Raw genomic sequence first — 27,268 nt, 5'->3', positions numbered from 1 at the left:
TCCCAGGAATTTCCCCAAGGCATCTTGTATTTTCCTTACTGTCGCATTTACCGCACTTTTTCTTTTCTCATATATCCCACATTACTCTGTGTTATGGGATGAATTGGGTTCCCCCAACGTTCGTATGTTGAAGTCCTAACCCTCAGTACCTCAGAATGTGGCTGTATTTGGAGATAGGACCTCTGGAGAGGTGATTTAGGTTAAATGAAGCCATATGGGTTTGCCCTAATCCAATGTGACTGGTGTCCTTATAAGAAAAAGGGATTCAGGCTGGGCACAGTGGCTCATGCCTGTAATCCCAGCACTTTGGGAAGCCAAGGACGGTGGATCACTTGAGGTCAGGAGTTTGAGACCAGCCTGGCCAACATGGTAAAACCCCATCTCTGCTAAAAATACAAAAATTAGCTGGACTTAGTGGTGGGCACCTGTAATCCCAGCTACTCGAGAGGCTGAGGCAGGAGAATTGCTTGAACCCAGTGGTCAGAGGTTGCAGTGAGCTGATATCATGCCACTGCACTCCAGTCTAGGCAACAGAGCAAGACTACATCTCGAAAAAGAAAAAAGCAAAAGAAAAAGGGATTCAGACACAGACACACACAGAGGGTGACCATGTGACGACACAGGGAAAAGGTGGCCCACTGCAAGCCACGGAGAGAACCTCAGGAGAAACTAACTCTGCCGACACCTTGATCTCAGACTTCTAGCCTCTAGAAGTGTGAGAAAATAAATGTTCATTGTGTAAGCCCCCCAGTCTGTGTTACTTTGTCATGGCAGCCCTGGCCAACTAATACATAACCAATACGGCCAAGCTGATGTGCCTTCACTCCCTCGATTAGGTTATATTACATAAAACCTCGTCTTAGCTGCCTGTATAGTGAGAAATTCTCCTGCTAGTCTCAGATGCAAACAGCCATGGTGTGGACTGTTTATGGAGAGGACCATGTGACTGGTAACTACAGGCACCTCTAGAATCTGATGGTGGCTTCCAGCCACAAGCAAGTAAGAAGCTGAGACCCTCCATTCTATAACCACAAGGAAGTGAGATCTGCCCACAATCATGAAAGCTTGGAAGAGAATTCTGAGCTCCAGATGAGAACACAGTCTGGCTAATACCTTGATTGCAGCCTGTGGTACAGAACCCCAGCTAAGCCGTGCCTGGACTCCTGAGCCATGAAAATGGTGGGATGATAAATGGCGGGGAGCATTAAGCCTCTAAGTTTGTGGTAATTTGCTACACAGTGTAGAAAACTAATACATGCTTGATGATGAAGTTTCTGTTTCCTGCTGGGAGATGACGGAGGTGGGGCAGGTGATATCCATGACTCCAAGCTAGGAATTCTCACTGGAAAATCAGGAATTGCACTGAATATGAGAAGGGAAAAGGAAATGAGAAATGTTATGCAACTCTCTACCATGCTCAAACATATTTTTCTCTCAAGGTTTGATGGAGTAAACAACTAATATAGTGTAACTTGAGGAATACTGAAAAGCTAGGTCAAAAAATATCTGCCCATCTTCCTGTCTTGACATTTAAGATATTTATCTGCAGGGGGAGTCTTTATGCAAAAAGAAGCATTTGGAGTCCCTGTTTAAAGTGCGCATGCTTGAGCCCCACCCTACACCCTCAAAATCAAAGTAGACATTTTAATCGGGGTTATCCGGGTGCTTCTGATGCTTGCATCTGGGGGCTGTCCCTTGAAGAACACCACCTTAAGCACCTTCTGGGGGCATGCACATTACAACTGGAATGATGCGGTCAAGAATTTGGAAATTTATAAATTATCTTGAATAGAAAGAGGACCTCTCCCGTCTCCCCTCTCAGCCTGGCCCAGGTCTCAGGGCCTGTTCTGGAGCCGCATCTGGACTTGTTCCCCGTCAGGACTTGTTGCCAGGCTCTCAGGCTGCTGCCCAGCCTGTTGAAACCTCTGCCCACCCTGGGCAGACTGGGCATGCTGACCTCACTCTGGAGCTCCTCTCAGCCAATGCCTAGTCTCCTAACTGGATTCCCGTGAGTACCAGGCCCCTACACACACGTGCACATGCACGTGCGTGCACGCATGCACACACACACACACACACACACAAAACACACACACGCACACACCAGTAGAAGGTTTGAGCTCAAAGCTGCCACACTCCTGGTTCTAGAACCTTTGCCCCATGGAAGGCTGTGGGTGTCTAGGCCAGCATGGACAGAGGAGTCGGCACGGGGACAAGCTCCTGACTTCTCAGTTTGCTTCGACAGTCCTTACCCTCCCCTCCCCGCTCCTCCTCAGAGACCTGTGGCATTATTTACAACACTGAGGGGCTGGGAGACCCCAGGCAGCTATTGCCCTCACTGGGATGTCCCAGGTTGCTAAGGATGTCAGAGTGAGTGAGTCACTAGCATGGCCCATCCCTCCAACACCACCTCATCCCGCCTTCATCTTTCCTGTTGCATCTGCATTCCAGGTGTCAGCCTCTGTTACCTGGGCAGGAGTTCCTAATGACAACTCTCTTCATAGCATCAAACACACCAGAAATATCATCAGCGCCCTCTAGCAAACCACACCAGACGGGGTTGAGGACCATATCTGGCACTTGCTAATGAGTTTGTTCTACTTTTCACCCAGAAAACTTGGAATCACTCCCTCCAAGTGCCAAGACTCAGGATTAATTAGAATTTAGGGCAGAGTCCAAAATGCTTACTGAAAGCTTTGTGCTTGGTTTGAGCTATTTTATGTAACAGCATGCAAGGAGTCTTAGGAAAAACAGCATTGGAAAGATGACCATTGCTTTTATCATCACTACAGAACACTTTATAGGCTCTGCTACTGCAATGGCCATTCTACACTTTTGTTCTGTTTTACAGTTCACAATCCCATATTATGTATTCTCACAATTCTCCAGTGAGGAAGATAATATTTGACAACAGGGAATTGAGGAAGTGGCTCCCCCAGGCCACACAGCTAGTTAGTAGAGAAGAGCTTAAAACCCAGACTTCTCTCCTTGCTCTGTGTGCTTCCATGCTTGTGCATCAATTTTTAGGCTCCCAAAGATGACCTTGAAATAGTTTCATTGGCACTATCTTCATTTTTTTGTTGTTGCAGGATGAACAACAATTTTAAGACAAATCATCACATTTCCCTTCAGAAACAGAATTATTTTCATTCATCTTCCTCCAAAAGGTCATACAATTTGTGACGAAGCTGCCCTGTTTATGTTGTTGCTGTTTTGGTTTGCATTGGTCTTTTCCCCCTTCTGAGCCTCTTCAAAGGCTTCCATCCGAGGTGCTCTGGAATGGAGTGAGTCACTGAGACACAGATGCAGGGCCACCTGTGAGCAGCTTGAGTCAATTATTCTAAAAATTTTGAAACTTATTCATCAGTGGGGGTTTTCAGGATGTCTTGTCTTCAAGTATCTAAAAATATCAGTGCCTGCCCATTTCAGGCACTCACGGCTCATAGAGATTGCCTGATATCTGGCTATGTTCGTCTAGATTGAGAGCTGCTTATGGGCAGGGCCCATGTCTTAGTCAACCTTTGGTTCCAAGGCCTAGTAGAGTACCTGGTACACAGTAGGCACTCAATAAATGTGTGATTAATCTGGTTGGGTTGGATTGCAAACCCCTATGCCCCGCCAATCCAAGAAGAAGCAGGGAGACCAGATGAAGTCTGATGTACTGCCAAGTCAACCAAGCATCCCTGGCTGGTGCCCCAACTTCTGCTGCTCCTCTTCATGGACCCCAGTCAGTGCCTTTGCCTGTCGACCCCCACAACTGCACTGCCCTCCTACTCCCCCTGGCCAGACTTTGAGGAAATGGGAGGCCAAAGTGGAGACAGAGAGGCCTCCGCCAACACTAAAATGGTTCACCTTGCCTGTTTGTGTGCCCTTCTGGTATCCAGAATTTAATATTCTTGCACTGGTTGTCTGTCATTTATAAATGTTAATGTGCACATAACTACTTTAAGGAAAAAAAACATCTACTTAACTAAAATATTTCTCATTCTGATCTATATTCAAACATGAATTTTTATAGTGTTAGAATAATCAATGATTATACTATGAACTATTATGTGTGCTTATTTTTTAAATATCATCTGTAGACTTCCATATTCATGGTTACTTTGTGTTTTATTATACTGATGTACTATTGTCTGCTTGACATTTGCTATTCATTGGTTACTTGGGTTGCTTCAATTTTTCACTATTATGAATTGTGCTATGATAAACATATTTGTTTGAATTTCCTATTGGTCTTTTAGTATTCCTTAGAATCTGTTTCTTAGACTATATGCCTAGTAATAAGATAACAAGGGCAAAAGAATGAATGGACACACACACATACACACACACACACACACACACACACACACAAACACGAGCCATGTGGCATTACAGAAAGATGAGAATAAATTGTTAGTTTCTATTTGACAACACTTTTTAGGCAAGGGTTTTTTAAGTCTTACTTTTATTTATTTACGTTTTTTTTTTTTTGAGGTGGAGTTTCACTCTTGTTGCCCTAGCTGGAGTACAATGGCATGATCTTGGCTCACTGCAAACTTTACCTCCCGGTTCAAGTCATTCTCCTATCTCAGTCTCCTGAGTAGCTGGGATTACAGGCATGCACCACCATGCCTGGCTGATTTTGTATTTTTAGTAGAGACGGGGTTTCATTATGTTGGCCAGAGTGGTCTTGAACTCCTGACCTCCGGTGATCCACCCATCTCAGCCTTCCAAAGTGCTGGGATTACAGGCATGTAATGTTGCCTTCTTCAACATTACAATACCTTGTTTTCACAATCCGTTATAATCTGTTGTTCAGGTTAAAGTACATGAAGAAAATCCAGCCTCACACAAATAGGTGATTGTGAAAGAATAATTTGTAATAGTCTTTTCAGATAAATCTGGGTATTCTTTTTGGATACTAAACTTTTTTGATACTAAACTATATATTAGAGCAAGCAAGGTAGAAGCTAAAAAAGAAGAAAAAGAAACTATATGAATGAACTTTTTATACTCTGTTACATTAAAATTCGTTGGTCTATCTTGCACTTTGAAGGACTCTTTTGCCCATGCATGATTTTATAACATCATTCATTGGTCAGTTGGAAAATTTAGTTCAATAGTATAGAGAGACCTTTTAAATGTAGACACATTGCATTATCCAATATCAAAAAATTACATTGGCCCAGGACTAGATGGCTTCACTGGAGAATTCTACAAAATATTTCAGAAAGAATTAACACCAATTCTTCTTAAACTTTTCTTTAAAAAATGAAGAGGAAGGAACACTTTCAAACTCATTTTTTCAGGACCCCACTACTCTGATAACAAAATCAGACAAAGATACTATAAGAAAATAAAACTGGCTGGGCGTGGTGGCTCACACCTGTTATCCCACCATTTTGGGAGGCTGAGGTGGGTGGATCACCTGAGGTAGGAGTTTGTGACCAGCCTGGCCAACATGATGAAACCCCATCTTTCCTAAAAATACAAAATTAGCAGGGCATGATGTTGCATGCCTATAATGCCAGCTACTTGGGAGGCCGAGGCAGGAGAATCGCTTGAACCCAGGAGGTGGAGGTTGCAGTGAGCTGAGATTGCACCATTGCACTTCAGCCTGGGCAACAAGAGCAAAACTCAGACTCAGAAAAGAAAAGAAAAGAAAAGAAAAGAAAAGAAAAGAAAAGAAAAGAAAAGAAAAGAAAACTACAGACCAATATCCCTGATGAATATTGATGCAAAAATTCTCAATGAAAACTATCAAACCAAATTCAACAACACATAAAAAAAAGATTATACATCATAACCAAGTGAGATTTATTTGTGGAATGCAAGGATGGCTCAATATATGATAATCAATCAATGTAACACACCATATTAAAAGAATGAAGGACAAAAAAAACCACACAATCATCTCAATTTATACAGAAAAAAAGCATTTCACAAAATTCAGACCCTTCATGATAAAACACCCAACAAACTAGAAAGAGAAGGAAATTATCTCAACATAATAAAGGCCATATGTAAACAGGCCACAACTAACACCATAGAAATTGTGAAAAACTGCCTCTAAGATCAGGAACAAGGCAAGATTCCCACTCTCATCACTTCTATTCAACGTAGCACTAGAATTCCTAGCCAGAGCAATCTGGCAAGAAAAATAAATAAAATGTATCCAAATTGGAAAGAAGGAAGTAAAAATCTCTGTTTGCAGATGATATATTTTAATATGTATAAAATCCTAAAGATTCCACCAAAAACTATTAGAAGTAATTTTAAAATACAACAAAGTTGCAGGATACAAAAAGGAATTGTGTTTCTCTACACTAAACAATAATCAATTCAAAAAGGAAAGTGAGAAAACAATCCCATTTACAATAGCATCAAAAAGAAAAAAATACGAATAAACTTAAAAATACAAAGGATTTGTACACTGAAAACTGCAAAAGATTGCTGAAAGAAATTAAAGAAGACACAAATAAATGGAAAGATATCCTGTGTCCATGGATTGGAAAAATTAATATTATTAAAATGTTCATACTACCCAAACTGATCCACAGATTCAATGCAATCCCTATCAAAATCCCAATGGCCTCTTTTGCAAAAATGGAAAAAAAAAGTCCTCAAATTCATATGAAATATCAAAGCACCCTGAATAGCCAAAACAATCTTGAAGAAGAAAAACAAAGCTGGAAGCCTCACACTTCTTAATTTCAAAACAGAATACAAAGCTACAGTAATCAAAACAGTATGGTTTTGGCATAAAGACAGACATATAGACCAAAGGAACAGAAAAATGCAGAAATAAACCTTCACATATATGCTCAAATGATCTTTGACAAGGGTGCCAAAGTCACTCAATGGAGAACAGATTGTCTTTTCAACAAATGGTCCTGGGAAAACCGGATATCCAGATGTAAAAAAATGAAGTTGGACCCTTACTTTAAAACATAAACAAAAATTAACTTAAATGTATTAGAGACCTAAATATAACACCTGAAACTATAAAACTTCTACAACAAAAAATAGAGGAATAGCTTTATGATGTTAGATTTTACAAGGATCTTAGACATGACACCAAAGCACAGGTAACAAAAGCAAAAATAGACAAATGGGACTACATCAAACTTTAATACTTCTGCACAGCAAGGGAATAATTGACAGCATGAAAAGGCAACTTACAGAATGGAAAAAAAAATTTTCAAACCATGTATCTGATGAAGGATTAATATCCAGAATATATAAAGAAGCCCTAAGTTCAATAATAACAACAAAAAGCAAATAACCTGATGTAAAATGAGCAAGAGACTTGAATAGACATTTCTCCAAAGAAGAACTACAAATGGCCCACAAGCACATGAAAATATACTTAACATCCTAATTGTTAGGGAAATGCAAATCAAAATTACATTAAGTTATTACCTTATGCCTATTAGAATAGCCACTATCAGGAAAACAGAAAGCAACAGATGTTGGTGAGGACTTGGAGAAATTCGAGCCCTTGTGGACTGTTAGTAGGCATGTAAAATGGTGTAGTCACTATGGAAAACGATATCAAGTTTTCCTAAAAAATTAAAAATAGAATTACCATATGATCCAACAATTCCACTACTGGGTATATCTCCAAAAGAACTGAAAACAGGATCTCAAAGAAATAGTTTCACACTCTTATTCATTGCAGCATTATTCATAATAGCCAAGATACAGAAGTAACCTGAATGTCTATAAATGAACAAACAGATAAGGAAAATGTTGTACATACCTACAAAGGAGTATTATTGAGCCTCAAAAAAGGAAATCATGTTATATGCTACAACATGGATGAAACTTGTCGGGATGTTATGGTAAGAGAAATAAGCCAGTCAAGAAAAGACAAATGCTGCATGATTCTCCTTATATGTGTATCTAAAGTAGTCAAACTCTTAGAAATTAAAAATAGAATGGTGGTTGCCAGATGCTGGTGTGAGGGGGAAAAGCATTGTTGTTTAGTGGGTGTAGAGTTTTAGAGTTGTAAGATTAAAAACATTTCAGAAGTCTGTTGCACAACAGGGTGCATGTAGTTAACACTGCTGTACTGTACACTTAAATGGTTGGGATGGTATCTTTCATGTTATATGTTTTTAAAAATAGTAACCAAAAAATCAGTGAGAGTAGAGGAGAGAAGGAAGGGAGGAATGAATAGGTGGAACACAGGTGTAGGGGAAGAAAAATATCTTTCTCTACCCATCCTAGGTTCATGGCTGAGGCCCCTGTAACAAAAGACAGATTAACAAGAGAAAAGCATATAAATGTATTTAAGTTTTATATGAAGACTTTACATGAAGACCCCACAGAAATTGTTAAACTTGGTTATTCTTTTTTTTTTTTTTTTGGAGGCACGTTCTCACTCTATCACCCAGGCTGGAGTGCAGTGACGTGATCATGGTTCACTGCAGCTTCAATCTCATGAGCTCAAGCAATCCTCCCACCTCAGCCTCCCAAGAAACTGAGACCACAGGTGTGCACCACCGTGCCCAGATAATTTTTTAATTTTTTTGTAGAGACAAGGTCTCTATGTTATGTTGCTCAGGCTGGTGTGGAACTCCCAGGCTCATTCTCCTCTCTCCAGCCTCCTCTTTCCTCTGCTGCTGTTAAAACCATAATAGCCTTGACCTTTGGTTAGCGCATCCAAGTTTGATGAAGCACTGTCCCATTCATCATCTCCTTTGGATTTTGATCTTCAACCTTTGTGAGATAGTCATCCTTCCCACTTTTCTACAGGAAAATGAGGCGCTGTGAGGCAGGAATCTGCCCAGGTGCATAAAGGTGCACCTTTCTCATGTCTCTTTTCAAGATCTTTCCAATCTCCAATAGACTAATTTATAATGAGGTTTACCTGATGGCTAGTTCCGTCACATGTTCCCTCCAAGAAAGATTCACTTTATAAAGTGGAATTAAAAAAAAAAAAAGCAACATTTGTATCTAAGAAGTGATTCCCTAATCTTGAGACTCTTTTTTTTTTTTTTTTTTTTTTGAGACAGAGTCTCGCTGGGTCGCCCAGGCTGGTGTGCAATGGTGCAGTCTCAGCTCACTGCAACTTCTGCCTCCCGGGTTCAAGCAAATCTCCTGCTTCAGCCTCCCAAGTAGCTGGGATTGCGCCTCTACACCAGCTAATTTTCTTTTGTATTTTTAGTAGAGTCAGGGTTTTGCCATGTTGGCCAGCCTGGTCGTCTTGAGACTCTTATGTGCCATCATGGTTTGTGCCTCCCAAGGAGAATAACTACAAGGAGAAATAGAAAATAGCATAATTTTTCAAGTAAAGTGGAATGGGTATGCATTTTGGAAATTTTAATAAATAAATATAAATATTTACATTTACAAGTGACCCCAGCATCCACTGTGTGCCTTTTGCCCCAGTAACATCTGGACACACCACGTGTTCCCCTCTGCATGACATAATATATGCGTCAAGATTGGATACGTACAAGAGTTTTAGCGGAATTGACGAGGATTTCATAACCTTGCTCCTTTAATAGCCACAAACCATTTAGTAGGACAACTAAAAGCCCAATTAAAGTAAACCACAAAGAGTTAAAAGGAAAAAGCCTAGAGTCCAAACCCGGCCAGCTGAGTCTTTGAAGTACTTTTACAAGGCTCTGGCCAGATGGGGGAGTGCTTTAAACGGAGGAAACAGGAAGTACCTAGATTAAAAGTTTGTTTTGTTTCTTAGGAGGGGGTGCTCTTTCTAGAAGTGCTCTTCCAGGAAACCTGCCCTTTCCCACCTAGATATTGAGGTTTCCTGAGAAAAAAATAAATAGCTTCTCCTTAGCACAGTGTAGAGGATCAGTTAGGCAGTAAAAAGCCCAGAAATGGAGCCGGCTCTGCTCGATGTTATCAGCGCAAAGGAAGGGGAGGAGGACTTTGAAGCAAGGGCCTGAGGAGAGGAGGCGGCAGGAAGAAGAGGCGGAGTGCAGGCGGCCATCCGAAGACCTCAGGCCACTGCAGCAGCAGAGGGCAGAAATGGCACGCAGGAGCCAGGGCGTTTGTTCCTGCGGCTGAGCTTCAGGGCTGGGCTCCGTTCCCCCGGGGAACAGCATCACTGCAGAAGATGGCCGGCTGGCTCTGGGATGCGGGGGCATCCAGTTAAGGCACCGAACACCGCAGAACAGAGACCCAGAAATAAAACCCTTCTCAAACCGTCCCGTTTTGCTCAGGGCTCCACAGGAAGAACCTACCGTTGGCTAGAATGGCCTGATCCTCGTGGACCACACTGCCCACTGGTGGAGGCGTACTCGAAGCACCATCCACGGGGGCAGTTCGGAGCCGTGGGCCTGAGGAACCGGGTAGTCTATCTCGAATGGACGTGCAGAGTTGTGGCTTCCTGAACACGTACACTCTATCTTCCCAAATATCAGACTGCTTATCAAAATACGCTAGCTGCCGCTGTATCTCAATGCATCCTTCTTAAAGTTACTTTCTCCCACGCCATCATGTCCAACTTCCCATGGCCTTTAGCCGGCTCCACCCTTTCCCTGGCATGTCTTTCTTCTTTCATATTTTACACAGAGGCTCCTGGGTAGATTACATACCCAGCTTCATCTTTGCCCTTAGATGCCCAGCACGCTGCTTCTATTCCTAATCCCAGTGAACCCAGCTGCCCTGTGTTTCCCCTTTCTCCTGAGCTCCCTTCTAAGGAGTCCGGCGACTGTCAGAGGCCATGTGATGTAGTCACTGTTACAGAAAAAAATGACCCAGTGATACTTGTTAAAGCATGGTGTGGCCAACTTTCTTCAGGACCATCGCTATAGGTATAGGGACCACCAAGCAATTAGATTTTGCAGTGGGAGACAGAAATTGGGCTCAACTCTGAATACAGCATGAGCAAGTAGGAATGTATAGCCAAGGAGCAGGGTGGGGGTCGGTGGAGGGAAAATCACTAAGAGGGAACTTCAGGACTGAGAAAGACTTTAGCTAAACCAACAACAGGATTCTTGTTGAAGACAGGCCAGGAAACCAGACATCGCCTGGGGGCTGGTGGAGGGAGAAGAACCCAATCAGACATGAAGGTGATCAGATATTGTAGGTGGGGGATTCTTGCTTAACTGACTTAGCAGGGTTCTTTGCTAAAACTAGATTTTACAAGGAAGTGCATAGAAGGCCCTAGGAGAAGATTCCAGAGCCTGACTAAAGTTTGCCCAAGCAAATAATTTTTGCTGCAAACCGCCAGGCTTTCTTAGTAATCTTTATATTATTTGTCAAAAGCTTCAAAAAATTATTTCAACCAAGCGAGCCATTGCTAGTAACTGCTAAGGAGCTCTCTGCCCTGTCACCCGCCTTGCTTGTGGGTGGCAAGAGGTCCACATGGCCCACTGGTTCTACACTGTTTCTGCCAGCATGTGGCTGGCTTATAAACTACAGGCATGTGAGTACGCCAGGCAGTGACTCAGCACTTCCCTAACTGTAAAAGCCCAGAGGGAATATGCATTCCAATGTAGGAATGTCTGTGTCAATATCTGTAACATTCAGCATTTCTTTCTTTCGTCTTTCCTTTCCTTCTTTCCTTCCTCTTTCCTTCTTTCTTTCTCTTTCTTTCTTTCCTTTCTTTCCTTTCTTTTTCTCTCTTTCTTCCTTTTTTTCTCTTTCTTCCTTTTTCTTTTTTCTTTCTTTTTTTAGATAGGGTCTCTCTCTCTCTCTGGCCATCAATATTTTCTTTCTTTCTTTCCTTCTTTCCTTCTTTCTTTCTTTCTCTCTTTCTTTCTCTTTCTTTCTTTTCCTTCCTTCCTTCCTTCCTCCCTCCCTTCCTCCCTTCCTTCCTTCCTCCCTTCCTTCCTTTCTCTTTTTCTTTTTTCTTTCTTTTTTCAGATAGGGTCTCTCTCTCTCTGTGGCCCAGGGGCTGGAGTGCAGTGGCACCATCGTCACTCACTGAAGTCTCAAACTCCTGGACTCAAGCAATCCTCTGGCCTGAGCCTCCCAAGTAGCTGGAAACTACAGGTGTGCACCAACACACCCAGCTAACTTAAAAAAAATTTTTTTTTGGCCAGGTGTGGTGGCTCACGCCTGTAATCTTAGAACTTTGGGAGGCCAAGGTGGGTGGGTCACCTGAGGTCAGGAGTTCGAGACCAGCCTGACCAACATGGTGAAACCCCATCTCTACTAAAAATACAAAAAATTAGCTGGGCGTGGTGGCGGGCACCTGTAATGCCAGCTGCTAGGGAAGCTGGGGCAGGAGAATTGCTTGAACCGAGGAGGCAGAGGTTGCAGTGAGCTGAGATCGCACTATCGTACTCCAGCTTGGGTGACAGAGCGAGACTCCGTCTCAAAAAGAAGAAAAACAAATTTTAAAGATGGGGTCTTGCCCTGTTGTCTAGGCTTAGCATTATTTCTGAAGAAATATAGTGCTCATACTTTGAGAGAAGCACAATTAGTACTTACCTTGAACCAACAAATATGATTAAATGTTATAATAATTAAGAGATAAATAGAAATGCTGATTTCCTCATAATAAATAAATGTCCACATACTTTTTTTCAGAGACTTTTTCAATACAGGGAACTGAGATGAATGTAGAGTTTCTTGGAGGGTGAAAGAACAGTTAATAATGTCTGTTGAATTCTGAAACATTTGGCGATTTCACAAAAGAGACTTTGTAGTGTCCTTGTGATAACTGTAAAATAAAGTAGGAAACAAACCTGAATAAATATATAGAAGAGAAAAACAAGTTACGGTAGGCTAAATATAAGATACAAGGTAATTCCTTTAAACTTTCAGTACAAAATATACCTCAGAACAAATAGAATGTACTGAGAACAGCCAAACAATCCTCATTTTAGATGTCAGAGCCATAGGATTTCTGGCACCCGGTCAGAATGCGCAGGAAAATGTTAGCATCTGAGAGATGGGTTATAAAGTGTTTGCAAGAACTAATGGAAGTCTCAAATTTATTTTGTCCCCGAAGAAGTTTGTTTTTTAGAGAATTTCTGGAAAATGACGTTAGGTCATTAGAAAAATAATAATTCCTGGGCGTTGCCCTGTTGACAGCCAACATAAATGCTGCATCTCCCTGGATCAAAGAAACTAGCCCTTCAAAGAAAAACTGGACAACATCAAGAATTAAATATTTCAAACTATGAGAGGAATACTTCCAAAAGAAGAGGAAAGTATAGGGTGTTTGGAAAGGAGGTGGCAGATTTCTTTAAATGCAGAGAATTTTTTAAATCATAATAATAAAATACCTGGTATCAACGGAGCATTTTGTATGTGCCAACACTATTTGCTAAGAGCTTTACACATGCAATTTCATTTTAGCCTCACAAAACTCCTCTGAAGGAAGTACTGGTATTGTCCCCATTGCCAGATGAGGAAACAGAAGCATAGAGAGGACATTTCCTTGCCTGAGGCCACAGATGTGGTCAGACAACATGGCCTGTACCGTCGGCTCTGCTCTGATGCCTTCTTTCTGGCCTATGCAGGGTACAATGCTTTTAACACTTGCAATGTCCCAAGCACCTTTCAAAGGACTTTACAGGTACTAACTCATTTAATGCACACAGCAATAGCCAATGAAAGATACACGATCAGCATCCCATTTTACAGATGAAGAAACTAATAGGCTGAGGGAGCTGTCCAAGATCACCCAGCTATGTGCCAGAGTGGGATTTGGACCTAGGCAATCTGAGCTCAGAAGCCAAAATCTGAATCATTTCACAATACCATATCTCATGCAGCAAGAAAGTTTCAGTCTTACATATATCGTTATGTCGTTTCCTTTCTTCCTTTTTCCCCTTTCTTTTTTTTTTTTTTTTTTGGAGGCGGGGTCTCACTATGTCACCTAGACTGGAATGCAGTGGCACAATCTATCTTGGCTCACTGCAGCTTCATCCTCCCTAGCTCAAGCCATCCTCCCACCTCAGCTTCCTGAGTAGCTAAGACCACAGTTGCACACCACCATGCCCAGATAATTTTTATATTGATTGTAGAGACAGGGTTTTGCCATGTTGCCCAGGCTGGTCCCAAACTGCACCCAGCCGTGTGTCGTTTCTGAATTGCACTCTATGCAAATAAGTCAACAATGTTAAACAATAGGGAAAATGAGTAAATGAGTATTTTCTTTATTCACATTAATTTCAAGTTCAGGAAGGACTGAAGAAAGGCATGGCAGAAAATGCCCACGTGAAGCCCAGATTTGTCATTACCAGCTCCTGGTAATAGCAGTAGAAGTGAGATGTGGTGAGTAGAAAATGTGGGGGAGGATTCGGGTCAGAAAGTCAAGAACTGGAAGAACTGGCAGGGCCTTGACAAGAAAAAAGCCAAACAATGCCTGAGCTTCTGCACCAGCCTGGGATCCAGATTAATGACCGAGTGGAACAGAAACAATAAAACACCACATTGTCAAGTACCTGATTCTTCCCACAAAACAAACCAACAAACAAAACACAGCCCCTGTGCTCTTGAGTTTATCCTCCTTTTACAGAAGGGTGTTATCTGACTCTGTGCTTAACTATACTTGGCAGTCTTTTACCAGCTCTCATTGAAGATTGGCTAGGTCTCTATCCAGTATCTACATGCCCTTGAGGGAGGTGTTGGAGGAATGAGCAGTAATGCGTTGTGGACAGTTAACGTCAATTTTTTTAATAAACAAATATTTATGGAGTCCTTACCATGCACAAGAATTCATTCCAGCTCTTGACTGAACTGCCAGCTGTTTGAGAAGATGAGGAAATCATGTCTCATGGTGGTTATGATCATTGTTTCCTTAACCTGGAAAAACTCACCCCCTCCTAAACACTCCCCACACTACAATAGAAAATAAAGACTATGCCAGTGGGTAGTTTCCTGGCAGTATACTCACAGATGGTTGATTACACCACCAGCTGGATGCCAGTGGATTTGCTGGAATAAAATAGGTTAGGCTGCTGTAACACCAACACACACACACACACACACCCCTCAGTGACTTAACACAACACTTATTCAAGGCTCACAGACCACATGCAGTGTGAATTACAGGTTTCATGGGTGATGGGAGCACTCTTCTCATTGCAACCATCCAAGGACTCTGATGGGCTGACAGAGGGTCCCCTTAGGTAAATGCTCCCACGATGCTGGAAGAATGAGAACAGAATTGTTCACAGGCTCTTCATGTTGCCTCCTGGAAGTCTCATATAATTTCTACGCACATTTCATTGGCCAAAGCAAGTGGTATGATATGCTTATTTTTTAAAAAGACAACAAAATGCAAACTTAGTTTATGTCTAAGCTCATGAGGCTGGGTAATTTATTTTAAAAAGAGGTTTATTTGGCTCACAGTTCTGGTGACTGGAAGGTTCAAGACTGTGCAGCTGCATCTGGTGAGGCCCGCAGGCTGCTTCTGCTCATGGCAGAAAGTGGAAGGGGGCAAGCATGTGCAAAAACATCACATGGCAAGAGAGGAAGCAAGAGAGACAAACCGAGGAAGCCAGACTTTTTTGAACAACCCATTCTCACAGGGTGTACACCTGTAGTCCCAGCTACTCAGAAGGCTGAGGTGGAAGGATCACTTGTGCCCAAGAATTAAAGACCAGGCTGGGCAACACAGTGAGAGTGTCTCATTAAAAAACAAACAAACAAACAAACAAACAAACAAACAAACACTACTCTGGTGGGAACTAATTCATTCCGTGGAGAGAGAAAACTCATTCGCTCCTTTGGTAGGGCATTAATCTATTCAAGAGAGATCTTATTAGGCCCCACCTCCAACACGACCATGTTGGGGATCAAATTTCAAGATGAGTTTTGGTGGGGATAAACCACATCTAAGCCAGAGCAGTATGTGCCCAGGATAAAGGAAGACTGCACTATTCACTTAAGTGTGGCCCTAATGACTATGACATTGAGTAAATAGCATTGAGTAAAGGAAATTGGATGTTAGAATATGGAAGCATGGGGTCACCAAAAATGGCCCCTTTTAACTTTGTGCACCTCAGACTAAAGACCTGCATAAAGTGGACTCAAGAATGATGACAGGTGTTAAAAATAATTAATTAGAGCTGAGAGTGGTGGCTCATGCCTATAATCCCAGCACTTTGGGAGGCCAAGGCACATGGATCACTTGAGGTCAGGAGTTCGAGACCAGCCTGGCCAACATGGTGAAACCCTGTTTCTACTATAAATGCAAAAATTAGCTGGGTGTGGTGGTGCACGCCTGTAATCCCAGCTACTCGGGAGGCTGAGGCAGGAGAATCACTTGAACCTGGGAGGCAGAGGTTGCAGTGAGCTGAGATCGCGCCATTGCACTCCAGCCTGGGCAACAAGAGTGAAAGTCCGTCTCAAAAAATAATAATAATAATAATTAATTAGGAGGCCATTAAGTTGGGGTTGCTCCCATGCCCTGGGTTCCTAGGTGAGCAATCCAGAACCCAACTCAATGTCAATGGTTGGGTTAACCAATCAGAAACCACCAACCAACCTCTAACCAGGGACTTTTCACTGGAATAATCCAAATGACGCTATTACTGTACTTCAACAAATCAAGTATTTTTTTTTTGTCTTGCTTCTGAGTGAACTGGTCTTGTAAAAGACTTCTCCCCCACCTCTGACCCCTACCCCTTTGCCAGAGCCCCAAACTGCAAGAGCCCCACAAACAGGGAGCTCCCTGTTTATGAATAAGACAAATACACCCTTTAAGATTTTAAAGCGCCTCAATTTATCTTTTCACATTGGTAATGTTTTAGTAGGTATATGTGCACATGGGGAAAGGGCCAGATGGAACTGGCAGTGAGTGGCCAATGACTACAGAGACAAGGACAACAGAAACCTGCCATGCTGTTTCCAGTTTAAGAACTTGCAACTGGATCCTGAAGTTGCCAGATGCCTATGGGTCTCGAGGTCACAGAGAGGGTGGTATATTTGAATTTTAGGAAGAGAAAATACTTGAGACTATTTTGTCCACAGCCCTGTGACTCTTTATGAACATCCAGTAATAAAGAAAATGATCTTATGCAAAGATGAAAGCTCAGTGCTGGCAGATTTTGAGATTTGGTAGCAATCTCTCTACATGGGACTTCATGGCTTTGGCCTTGATCTTTGACTCACTAAATGCCCACAGTCCCTGGTGTTCTCCATGCCAAGCCACTGGCACAAGATGACCTTTCATTCCTGGCAAAATTTAACTAATCCTTCTTGTGAAATAAAGCAGCAGGGAGGACCAGAAATATGGGAAGAAAAAGGAAAGGGAAATGTTTATGGCTTTGTCCCCCAGAGCTTTTCCCAAAAACAGGACGCTGCCTGTAGGGACTGTGTTTCTCTATAAAATGGGAGCACTGGCCAGGTGCGGTGGCTCATGCCTGTAATCCCAGAACTTTGGGAGGCCGAGGCAGGTGGATGATCTGAGGTCAGGAGTTCGAGACCAGCCTGACCAATATGGTGACACCCCATCTCTTCTAAAAATACAAAAATTAGCCGGGCATGGTGGCCTGTAATCCCAGCTACCTGGGAGGCTGAGACAGGATAATTGCTTGAACCTGGGATGCAGAGGTTGCAGTGAACCAAGATCGTGCCACTGCACTCCAGCCTGGGTGACAGAGCAAGACTCCATCTCAAGAAAGAAAAAATAAAAGGGGAACACTAATGTGTCTGAGAAGCTGTTGAATCATCAACCATCCATACCAAGCCTTGTTTCCACTCTGCAACCTCACTGGAAAGTATAAAGCACACTTTTAAGTCTCAAACCAAACAAGGACTCCAGTTAATTGATAAGAGAGCCAAGCAGGTTAACAGCCCAGAAGGCCTGGTCTTCCTGTCCTTCAGGGCTTTCTGCTCTGCAGCTCTAAGAGGATACAAAGCACCTGTTTGCTTCTTAGCACAAGTGTCATTTTAATGAGGTGCAAATTCAACTTGTTCAGTAATGCTACAACAAGACAGCACAGTGCAAAGTGTGGTCCTTCCATCAAGCAATAGCAGCGATGCCCAGTGCTTGTCTGAAATGCAGAATCTGAGGCACCATCCTGACCTGCTAAATGAAAACCTACATTTGACAATGTCCCCAGGTGATATGCAGCCACATTAAAATCTGAGAGACCCTGTTCTCCAGAGTTTTAGATCCTCTGTGAAAGAAGTCATTGCTACTGCCCTCTAATGAACAGAACAAAGGAGAATCCAGGCTCCTCCCAGCCTGCCTTCTCTCTCTTGTTAAACAGTAAAATTAGCGCCAAATGCCCAAGTATTAATTCATCTGCTTCCAAGCCTTTATAAAACAATGTGTTTATATGAATGAAACTGTACTTAAAAAGGGTAAGTCTATTTCAGTATGTCCCCATAGCTCCTAAAAGTACAATTTTTTTAAAAAAAATCAGTTTTAAATGCTTACTTCCATAAACAGTACACTTATTTTTCCCAGGCTATCAATTTCGCCTTCATCTTTGACTCACTGAATTTCCACAGTCCCTGATATTCTCCATGCCAGGCCACCAGCACAAAATGACCTTTCACTCCTGACAAAATGTAATTAATGCTTTTTGTGAAATAAAGCAGCAGGCAGGACCAGAAATATGGGAAGAAAAATGAGAGGGAAATGTTTATGGCATTGTCCCCCAGGGCTTTTCCCAAAAACAGGATGCTGTTTGTAGGGACTGGGTTTCTCTATAAAAACGATCATTTTATTTCTAACTCCCTTTCCTTTCTCCATCACCATTGTGTCAGAGGCATGTGAACCAGAGCAACTCCATCTTGAATAGGAGCCGGGTAAAAAGGCTGAAACCTACTGGGCTGCATTCCCAGATGGTGAAGGCATTCGAAGTCACAGGAAGAGATAGGAGGTAAGCACAAAATACAAGTCATAAAGACCTTGCCGATAAAACAGTTTGCAAAAAAGAAGCCAGCTAAAACCCACCAAAACCAAGATGGCCATGAGAGTGACCTCTGGTCATCCTCACTACTATACTCCCACCAATGCTATGACGGTTTACAAATGCCATGGCAATGTCAGGAAGTTACCCTATATGGTCCAAAAAGGGGAGGCATGAATAATCCACCCCTTGATTAGCATATACTCAAGAAATAACCATAAGAATGGGCAACCAGCAGTCCTCAGGGCTGCTCTGTCTATGGAGTAGCCATTCTTTTATTCCTTTACTTTCCTAATAAACTTGCTTTACTTTACTCTATGGACTCACCCTGAATTCTTTCTTGCATGAGATGCAAGAACCCTCTCTTGGGGTCTGGATCAGGACCCCTTTCCTGTAACAACTGGCCAAGTACCACATAGGTTAGATGGCCATTTGCTTAACATTATGTCTGTTTACAGAAATTCCATGGGATGTTGTGGTTTTTATTCTGCTGTTTTGTTTGAGACTAGCTGGGAAGTCTGGACTATGTCCTGCTTGAGTACATTCATCTGGGCTACTCTCGTGCCTGTGTCTGAGGGATTCAGTAGAATGCCGAGAGATGCCACCGGGGGAGAAAGCTGATGTGACCCATTCTCTATTTTTTTAAAAGGTATGAACCATCATGCTTTACCTTAAAACGCTAATGTTCAATAGCAGAGTGGCTTAATTTGAAAGTTAAGTTTTATTGTGCTATGGGAAATGTCATCATGATGTATGTGTTAATTATGTCTCATCTGCTTTGAGAATTTAAATGAAGTAAGTAAATAGATGTTGTACTCAAACTCAAGGAGGCTGCATTTAAAAAGATACTTTGGGGCCAGGCATGGTGGCTCAGTCTGTAATCCTAGCACTTTGGGAGGCTGAGGCAGGGGGATTGCTTGAGCCCAGGAGTTGGGAGACCAGTCTGGGCAACATAGCAAGATCTCATCTCTACAAAAAAATTAAAAAATTAGCTGGGCATAGCAGCATGTGCCTGTATTCCTAGACACTTGGGAGGCTGAGATGGTAGGATCACCTGAGCCCAGGAGATTGAGGCTGTAGCGAGCTGTGATCGTGCCACTGTACTCCAGCCTGGGCCACAGAGCGAGAACCTGCCAAAAAAAAAAAAAAAGATACTTTGCTTTTCATTAGCATTTACTTCTTAACCTCAAGAATCTCCACTCGGCCCTCAAAAGATAAAATTGCTAATGATGGGGTTCAAGACACACAACCCCAAAACATACTACCCCAAAACATGGCACCTTGGCATTGGAGACAACAGCAACAGGAAGGTCCTTCTCACCTTCCTCTCGCTCTTCTCCCCTGAAGCAGGCCATAGCACCAGCAAAAGCGTCTCAGGCCTTCCCCTGAAGGCAGACCTAAGACTGTTATTCAAGAGGTGCCCTCCCTCTACCCAGGCAAAGGAACTTCCTTATCTCTGAAGACACAGGACCACAGAGAGGAATCTGAACAGACTCTGCCGAGTTCCCCTCGCACTGCGTTACCACCAGACCATACTTGTTTTTTATTCAGTTGTACTTCTCCATGACTATCTACTTCTTCATCAAAATGAACATAAAAAATACACAGGTCTACTAGTTTCTTTGGGTCTTCGTTTCCTTATAAAGTCTCCTGCATCATGTAAAACTTATATCAAACATACTTGGATGCTTTTCTCTTATTGATCTGTCTTTTTTTCTTGTAAGGGCCTCAGCCATAATGGGAAGGAAAAATATCCCTTTTCCCCTACAGTACAGTTGACGTGAATGTGTGTTTCAATATTACTGATGACATCCCAGAAACTGTGTTCTCTGGAGGGTTCCCAACAGCCTTTAAATAATCCCTAGTAAAACAGTAGAAAGAACATTTCCAGGTGGCAATGGAGCTGGAAGTGATATGACGTTTGTACGTGATGAAATACTCACTTTCTGAAATAAAGAATCTGTGAAGAGAGGAATTATGACTAGTATTTACATCAACTTTTCATAAACATCCCCAAATTCCAGGCACAAGACAAAAGGCATGACTCATCTCACAGTAGGCGCTGTGGCCGGGGAAGTGGCCCTCATGGAGATTGCTTCCCTAATGCCTGAGAATGGCTCTGGTGAGATCTGTAGGAAGCTGATAATAGGGTATTTCACTTGAGTATCGCCAGTCAAAATCTGGTTTTTGATCAAGAGCACTTCCTCAGCTAAAAATGTCATGCTTCCAGACCTCGATCTGATTTTTTTGGTAGATCATGACTGAAAAGACTGAAGACTTGATGAAACAATATGGATGATTGCAATCTTTAATTTCTGTGTCTTTTGAATACACATGAGATTATCCTGATGACTGTGGCTTGAGTTCTCCTATGTGCTGGAGCTTTAGGGGGCCAGGAAGTTCCTCTCCCCTTCCTATCCCTCTTCCCCTCAGCTAATAATGTCCAGAACCCCACCTGCAGGAGGCCTTCCTGTGGGTGAATGCGGTAGTGCCTATAGGAGCTTGTTTAAAAGCCACACTTCAGGCCGTGCACAGTGGCTCATGCTTGTAATCCCAGCACTTTGGGAAGCCAAAGCAGGAGGATCGCTTGAAGCTGGGATTCAAGACCAGCCTGGGCAACACAGTGAGACCCAATCTCTACAAAAAATTTAAAAATTAGCTGGGCATGGTGGCATACACCTGTAGTCCCAGGAGGCTGAGGCAGGAGGATTGTTTGCACCCAGGAGTTGGAGGCTACAGTGAGCAGTCATGGCACCACTGCACTCCAGCCTGGGCAACAGAGTGAGACCCTGTATCTCACACACACACACACACACACACACAAAATCACACTTTGTGACCCCAGTCTCAGGGGTCCTACTTGGTCTGAGGTGGGGTTAGGAGTCTGCATTTTTATAAGCACCTGCCCCTCCAGATGATTCTGAGTAGTGATTTTCAGAATAAGTTTAGAGAAACACTGACTAAACCTAGTTAATTCCTCATATTTAAAAAAAATTGTATTAAAAACAGAAATTAAGTGTAAGATGAGGAGAAAGGGGAACCCTTGTACATTGCTGGCGTGAATGTAAAATAGTGCAGCCGCTATGGAAATCAGTATGGCAGTTCCTCAAAAAGTTAAATATAAAATTACCATATGATCCAGAAATTCCACTTCTGGGTGTACATCCAAAAGACTTGAAAGCAGGGACTCGAAGAGACAGTTGCACACTCATGTTCCTAGCAGCATTATTCACAATAGCCAAGAGGTAGAAGCAACCCAAGGGCCCACTGACAGGATGAGTGGAGAAACAAAATGTGGTCCATCCATGCAATGATTCAACCTTAAAAAGAAAGGAAAGTTCGGCCGGGTGCGGTGGTTCATGGCTGTAATTCCAGCACTTTGGGAGGCCAAGGTGGGTTGACCTCCTCACCTGAGGTCGGGAGTTTGAGACCAGCCTGATTCAGAGACGTGGTGACACTCTGTCTCTACTAAAAATACAAAAATTAGCCGGGTGTGGTTGTGCGCACCTATAATCCCAGCTACTCGGGAGGCTGAGGCAAGGGAATCGCTTGAACCCAGGAGGTGGAGGTTGCAGTGAGCCAAGATCGCGCCACTGCGCTCCAGCCTGGGCGACAAGAGCGAAACTCCATTTCAAAAAAAAAAAAAGGAAGGAAATTCTGGCACATGCTACAACATGCATGACCCTTGCGGACATTATGCTACGTTTAGTAAGCCAGTCACAAAAGGATAAATACTGTATGATTCCACTTATATGAGGTACCTAGAATGGTCAACTTCACACATAGAGAAAGTAGAATGGTAGTTGCCAGGGGCTTTGGGGAGGAGAGAATAGGGAGCTGTTCAATGGGTACAGAGTTTCAGTGTGGGGAAATACAAAGAGTTCTGGAGACGGCTGGTGGTGGTTGCACAAGAATGTGAATGTATTCAATGCCACTGAACTATTCACTTAAAAAATGTTTAAGATGATAAACTTTGTTCTGTGTGTTTTACCACGATTTTAAAAAATAATTTAAAAAACTATTCAATACCCCTTAAAGGGAAAGGACATTACACAAAAAATAAATTATTATCTCAGTGACTGTTTTTCAGGTAGGAGATGGAAAAATACTAGTTAAAACTCACTTTTAAGGCTGGGTGCGGTGGTTCACGCCTATAATTTCAGCACTTTGGGAGGCTAAGTCAGGCGGATTGCTTGAGCACAAGAGTTCAAGACCATCCTGGACAACACGGTGAAATTCCATCTCAATAAAAAAATACAAAAATTAGCTGAGCGTGGTGGCATGCGCCTGTAATCCCAGCTACTCAGGAGGCTGAGGCGGGAAGATCACTTGAGCCTGGGAGGCCAAGGTTGCAGTGAGCCAATATCACATCACTGCACTCCAGCCTGGGCCTGGGCAACAGAGTGAGACCCTGCCTATTTAAAACAAACAAACAAACAAACAAACAAAAACTCTAGGATTCATAGACGTTAAAAAAACTTTCTCAAGGTCAGACATGGTATAGCCAGGATCTGAATCCAGGCAGCTGACTCCATGGCTCCTCCACAGCTGTCCCCTCTGCCCACTGTCATTCATTTCTGTTTGGGTGTAAGGACTAATAAAAAGAGAGTGTGATGCAGACTCTGATGTTTCAGGTTTGGGTCCCTGAAAGACAGGGTTTCAGTTTACAAAAGTGGGACATTCAGGGGAGGATGCTGCTGTGAAGTGGAAGGGGAAGAGATAGAAGGTTCCATTTTTGAATTTGTTCATCTGACTGACAGAAGACAGCAGTCTGTTGGAAATGCTGGCCTGGCATTCATGGGAGGGGTGGATTTGGGAGCTGTTGCTGGGCTAATTAGTAAGAGCAATAAGTGGGTAAGCTCAGCAGGGAAAGAAAGGAGGAAAAGAGGCAGAAAAGGGGGAAGTGAGAGGAGCCCAGAGCCAAAGCCAGAAGCTGGGGAAATGCCCACACTGTGTTCAGTAAGCAGACAGAGAGAGGAGCCATCCTGGAAGACAGAAGCAGCAGGTGCACCCTGAATGCCCAAGACGAGCCTGAGAGGCTCTTACTGTGGCAAACTGCAATGTCTTGGGCTCTGAGTACAGATTAGCATATGTAGATCATGTTTCAGGCCCATAGTTCTGGAATCTCTGTGACAGCTATGTGAGGTCAGCAGAGAAGTGTCATCATTTCCATTTTACTAAGAAGTCAGCAACCACAATACTGGTCAATTTCTCAAGGTCATACACCAACACTACGTCCATATCTTCCAAGTCCAGATTCCCACTCCCTGAGGAAGAGAGTGAACAGTGGGAGAGGGAGCCACGTGTAGGCAACAGGGGATGCATCACAAGTAGACACACATACAAAAAAATCGTAAAACCAATGGTACTAGCGATTCTACACAAAATGCACCTTCCTGAGAAATCTTTTTGTGGTGTAAGTTCTAAACAATTGCTGCAGTTATTGGTGAGTTTTACTAGTACATATGTAAGTTTCCAATTAACACACTTGAATTACTTATTCTCTCATAATCATCGTCTTACACTTACAGAAGTTACTCTGGAGAATCCTCAGTGATTCTGGCTTACCAGGACTCATCCACAGAAAGGTGTTTTCAGAATAAATTGGTAACACTTTGGAATCACTCAAGTTTGCTTCCAGCCCATTACCTGGCTCCAACCCTGTGGTACCATCTCCTACTCTGTTTAAAATGCTGGGTGCAGTGGCTCACGCCTGTAATCCCAGCACTTTGGGAGGCCAAGGCAGGTGGATCTCTTGAGGTCAGGAGTTTGAGACCTGCCTGGCCAACATGGTGAAACCCCGTCTCTACTAAAAATACAAAAATTAGCCAGGCATGGTGGCGGGTGCCTGTAATCCCAGCTACTCGGGAGGCTGAGACACGACAATCCCTTGAACCTGGGAGGTGGAGGTTGCAGGGAGCCAAAATGGTGCCCCTGCACTCCAGCCTGGGCCATAGAGTGAGACTAAGGCAGATTTGAAATAAATGAGGAGAGTGCAGTGATTGTGAAGATGAAGAAGCAGAACTTGCAATACTTTGATTTTATCATTTTATGTGATGACTTGTGTGATGGTTAATATTGAGTGTCAACCTGATTGGATTGAAGGATGCAAAGTATTGATCCTGGGTGTGTATGTGTGGGTGTTGCCAAAGGAGATTAACATTTGAGTCAATGGGCTGGGAAAGGCAGACCCACCCTCAGTCTGGGTGGGCACAGCCTAATCAGCTGCCAGTACAGCCAGAATAAAAGCAGGCGAAAGAACGTGGAAGGACTAGACTGGCTTAGCCTCCTAGCCTATATCTTTCTCCCATGCTGGATGCTTCCTGCCCTCAAACATCGGACTCCAAGTTCTTCAACTGTGGGACTTGGACTGGCTTCATGCTCCTTAGCTTGCAGACTGCCTATTGTGGGACCTCACCTTGTAATCATGGGAGTCAATATTCCTTAATAAACTCTCCTTTATACATACATCTATTCTGTTAGTTCTGTCCCTCTAGAGAACCCTAACACAGTTGGAATTTTTTTTTTTTTTGAAACAGAGTTTCACTCTGTCACCCCGGCTGGAGTGCAATGACATGATCATAACTCACTGCAGCCTTGACCTCCTGAGCTGAAGTGATTCTCCCACCTCAGCCTCCTCAGTATCTGGGACTACAGGTATGTACCATTATGCTTGGCTTTAGGAAAAAAAAAAAATTGTAGAGATAGGATCTCACTACGCTGTCAAGTCTGGCCTTGAATTCCTGGCCTCAAGCAATCCTCCCACCTCAGCCTCCCAAAGTGCTGGCATTACGGGTGTGAGCCACCTCACCCAGCTGGAACTTTTTGTGTGCTTAAAATGTAAAAGAGTGAAACTGAGTGCCACCTATGAAGTGTGATTTTTTGGTTTGGCAATTGCAATTTTAGTTTATACCTGAAATATTTTACTAAATAATATCTCTAAAATTAAAATGTATCATTTTAAATTGAGAGAATAATGATTATTACTGATTATTACATGACCAGTAGTGGAAGTAATTTTGTGTGTAGAAAACACCTGGTGTTAAATACTCTGAGTACACCACTGCATGCCCAAGCTGGAGCCCAGCCCTCAGGGGACCCTGGCCCTGGTGAATAGCAGCCGCCACCACAGCTCTACCCCTTCTCCCTTTTACTTTCCACTCAGTTTGCAGATTCCCAGCGAGGAGGTGGCATAGTTGTCAGAGATCCCAAGCACCTCAAGATTTTCTCTATCACCTCTCTCTTTTTACTTTGAGAGTGCACAAGGCTTTAGAAAGTGAAAAGTAGCTTCTCCTCTCAGCAGGATAGAGATCCCTATTCTGGGATGGTTAAGAAAATCCCAAGGTCTAAGGGGAGAAGTAGATTTTGGAGAAGTGATTGTCCCAAGGAGCTCACACAAGTAGTTACCCAGTTTGTTTAATGTAGCTTAAAACTAGCAATTAAGGAAACAGATCACTTCAAATTCAACATTAAACGATGTCTGGCTGGGTGCAATTGTTCACACTTGTAATCCCAGCACTTTGAGAAGGCCAGGTGGGGGGATCGCTTGAGGCCAGGAATTAAAGACAAGCATGGGTGACAGAGCGAGACCCCGTCTCTACCAAAAAAACCAAAACAAAACAAAACAAAAACACGATTATTCTCAATCATCATTTGATTTTATAGATGTAAATAGACATTATATAAATACACATGTAGAACCAGATAAATATGCATATATAAAAGATGTAGCTGTGACCGGGCACAGTGGCTCACGCCTGTAATCCCAGCACTTTGGGAGGCTGAGGCGGGTGGATCACGAGGTCAGGAGTCTGAGACCAGCCTGGCCAACATGGTGAAACCCCATCTATACTAAAAATACAAAAATTAGCTGGCATGGAGGGACGCATCTGTAATCCCAGCTACGCAAGAGGCTGAGGCAGGAGAATCGTTTGAACCTGGGAGGCAGAGGTTGCAGTGAGCCAAGATCACGCCGTTTCACTCCAGCCTGGGTGACAGGGCAAGACTCCATCTCAAAAAACAAAAAAGATGTAGTTATTAAATATATGTATGTGTATATATACGAAAGATGTAGTGTTAACATTGTGTATGTGGAGACATGTATAAATTGATGAGCATATGTGTATGTACATGAAATTGTAAATTTCAAAGAAAACTATAGTATAGGGACATGAATGTCAATTGATGAGCTCCTTCACCTGAGGTGGAGTGCAGTGGCACAATCACAGCTCACTGCAACCTTGAGCTTTTGGGCTCAAGCAGTCTTCCCGCCTCAGCCTTCCAAGTCGCCGGGATTACAGGTGCATGCCACCATGCCAGGCTAATTTTTTAAAAAAAATTTTGTAGAGACAAGATCTTGTTATGTTGTCCAGCTGGTCTCAGAACTCCTGGCTTCAAGCGGTCCTCCAGCCTTGGCCTCCCAAAGTGCTGGGATTGTAGGTGTGAGCCACTGTGCCTAGCCTAGCCTCTATTTTCATTAGGCA

At 43.0% G+C, this 27,268-nt stretch overlaps 3 annotated features.

Annotated features, from left to right (window-relative positions):
• Positions 11,006–11,751: an enhancer, noted in NCBI's record as "NANOG-H3K27ac hESC enhancer chr13:29327481-29328226 (GRCh37/hg19 assembly coordinates)". NCBI's record gives its function as "activates a minimal SCP1, AML or CMV promoter by ChIP-STARR-seq in naive H9 embryonic stem cells {active_cell/tissue: H9 hESC(naive)}" and the evidence as "EXISTENCE:reporter gene assay evidence [ECO:0000049][PMID:30033119]".
• Positions 20,729–21,023: an enhancer, noted in NCBI's record as "tiled region #8918; K562 Activating DNase unmatched - State 9:DNaseU". NCBI's record gives its function as "activates a minimal TATA promoter and a strong SV40 promoter by Sharpr-MPRA in K562 cells {active_cell/tissue: K562}" and the evidence as "EXISTENCE:reporter gene assay evidence [ECO:0000049][PMID:27701403]".
• Positions 23,809–23,898: a silencer, noted in NCBI's record as "silent region_5218". NCBI's record gives its function as "represses an Ori minimal core promoter by ATAC-STARR-seq in GM12878 lymphoblastoid cells {active_cell/tissue: GM12878}" and the evidence as "EXISTENCE:reporter gene assay evidence [ECO:0000049][PMID:35858748]".

Source organism: Homo sapiens, chromosome 13, assembly GCF_000001405.40.
Source record: "Homo sapiens chromosome 13, GRCh38.p14 Primary Assembly".
NCBI lineage: Eukaryota > Metazoa > Chordata > Mammalia > Primates > Hominidae > Homo > Homo sapiens.
The sequence above is the reverse complement of the archived record's forward strand: the minus strand, read 5'-3'. Positions and strand labels throughout refer to the sequence as shown.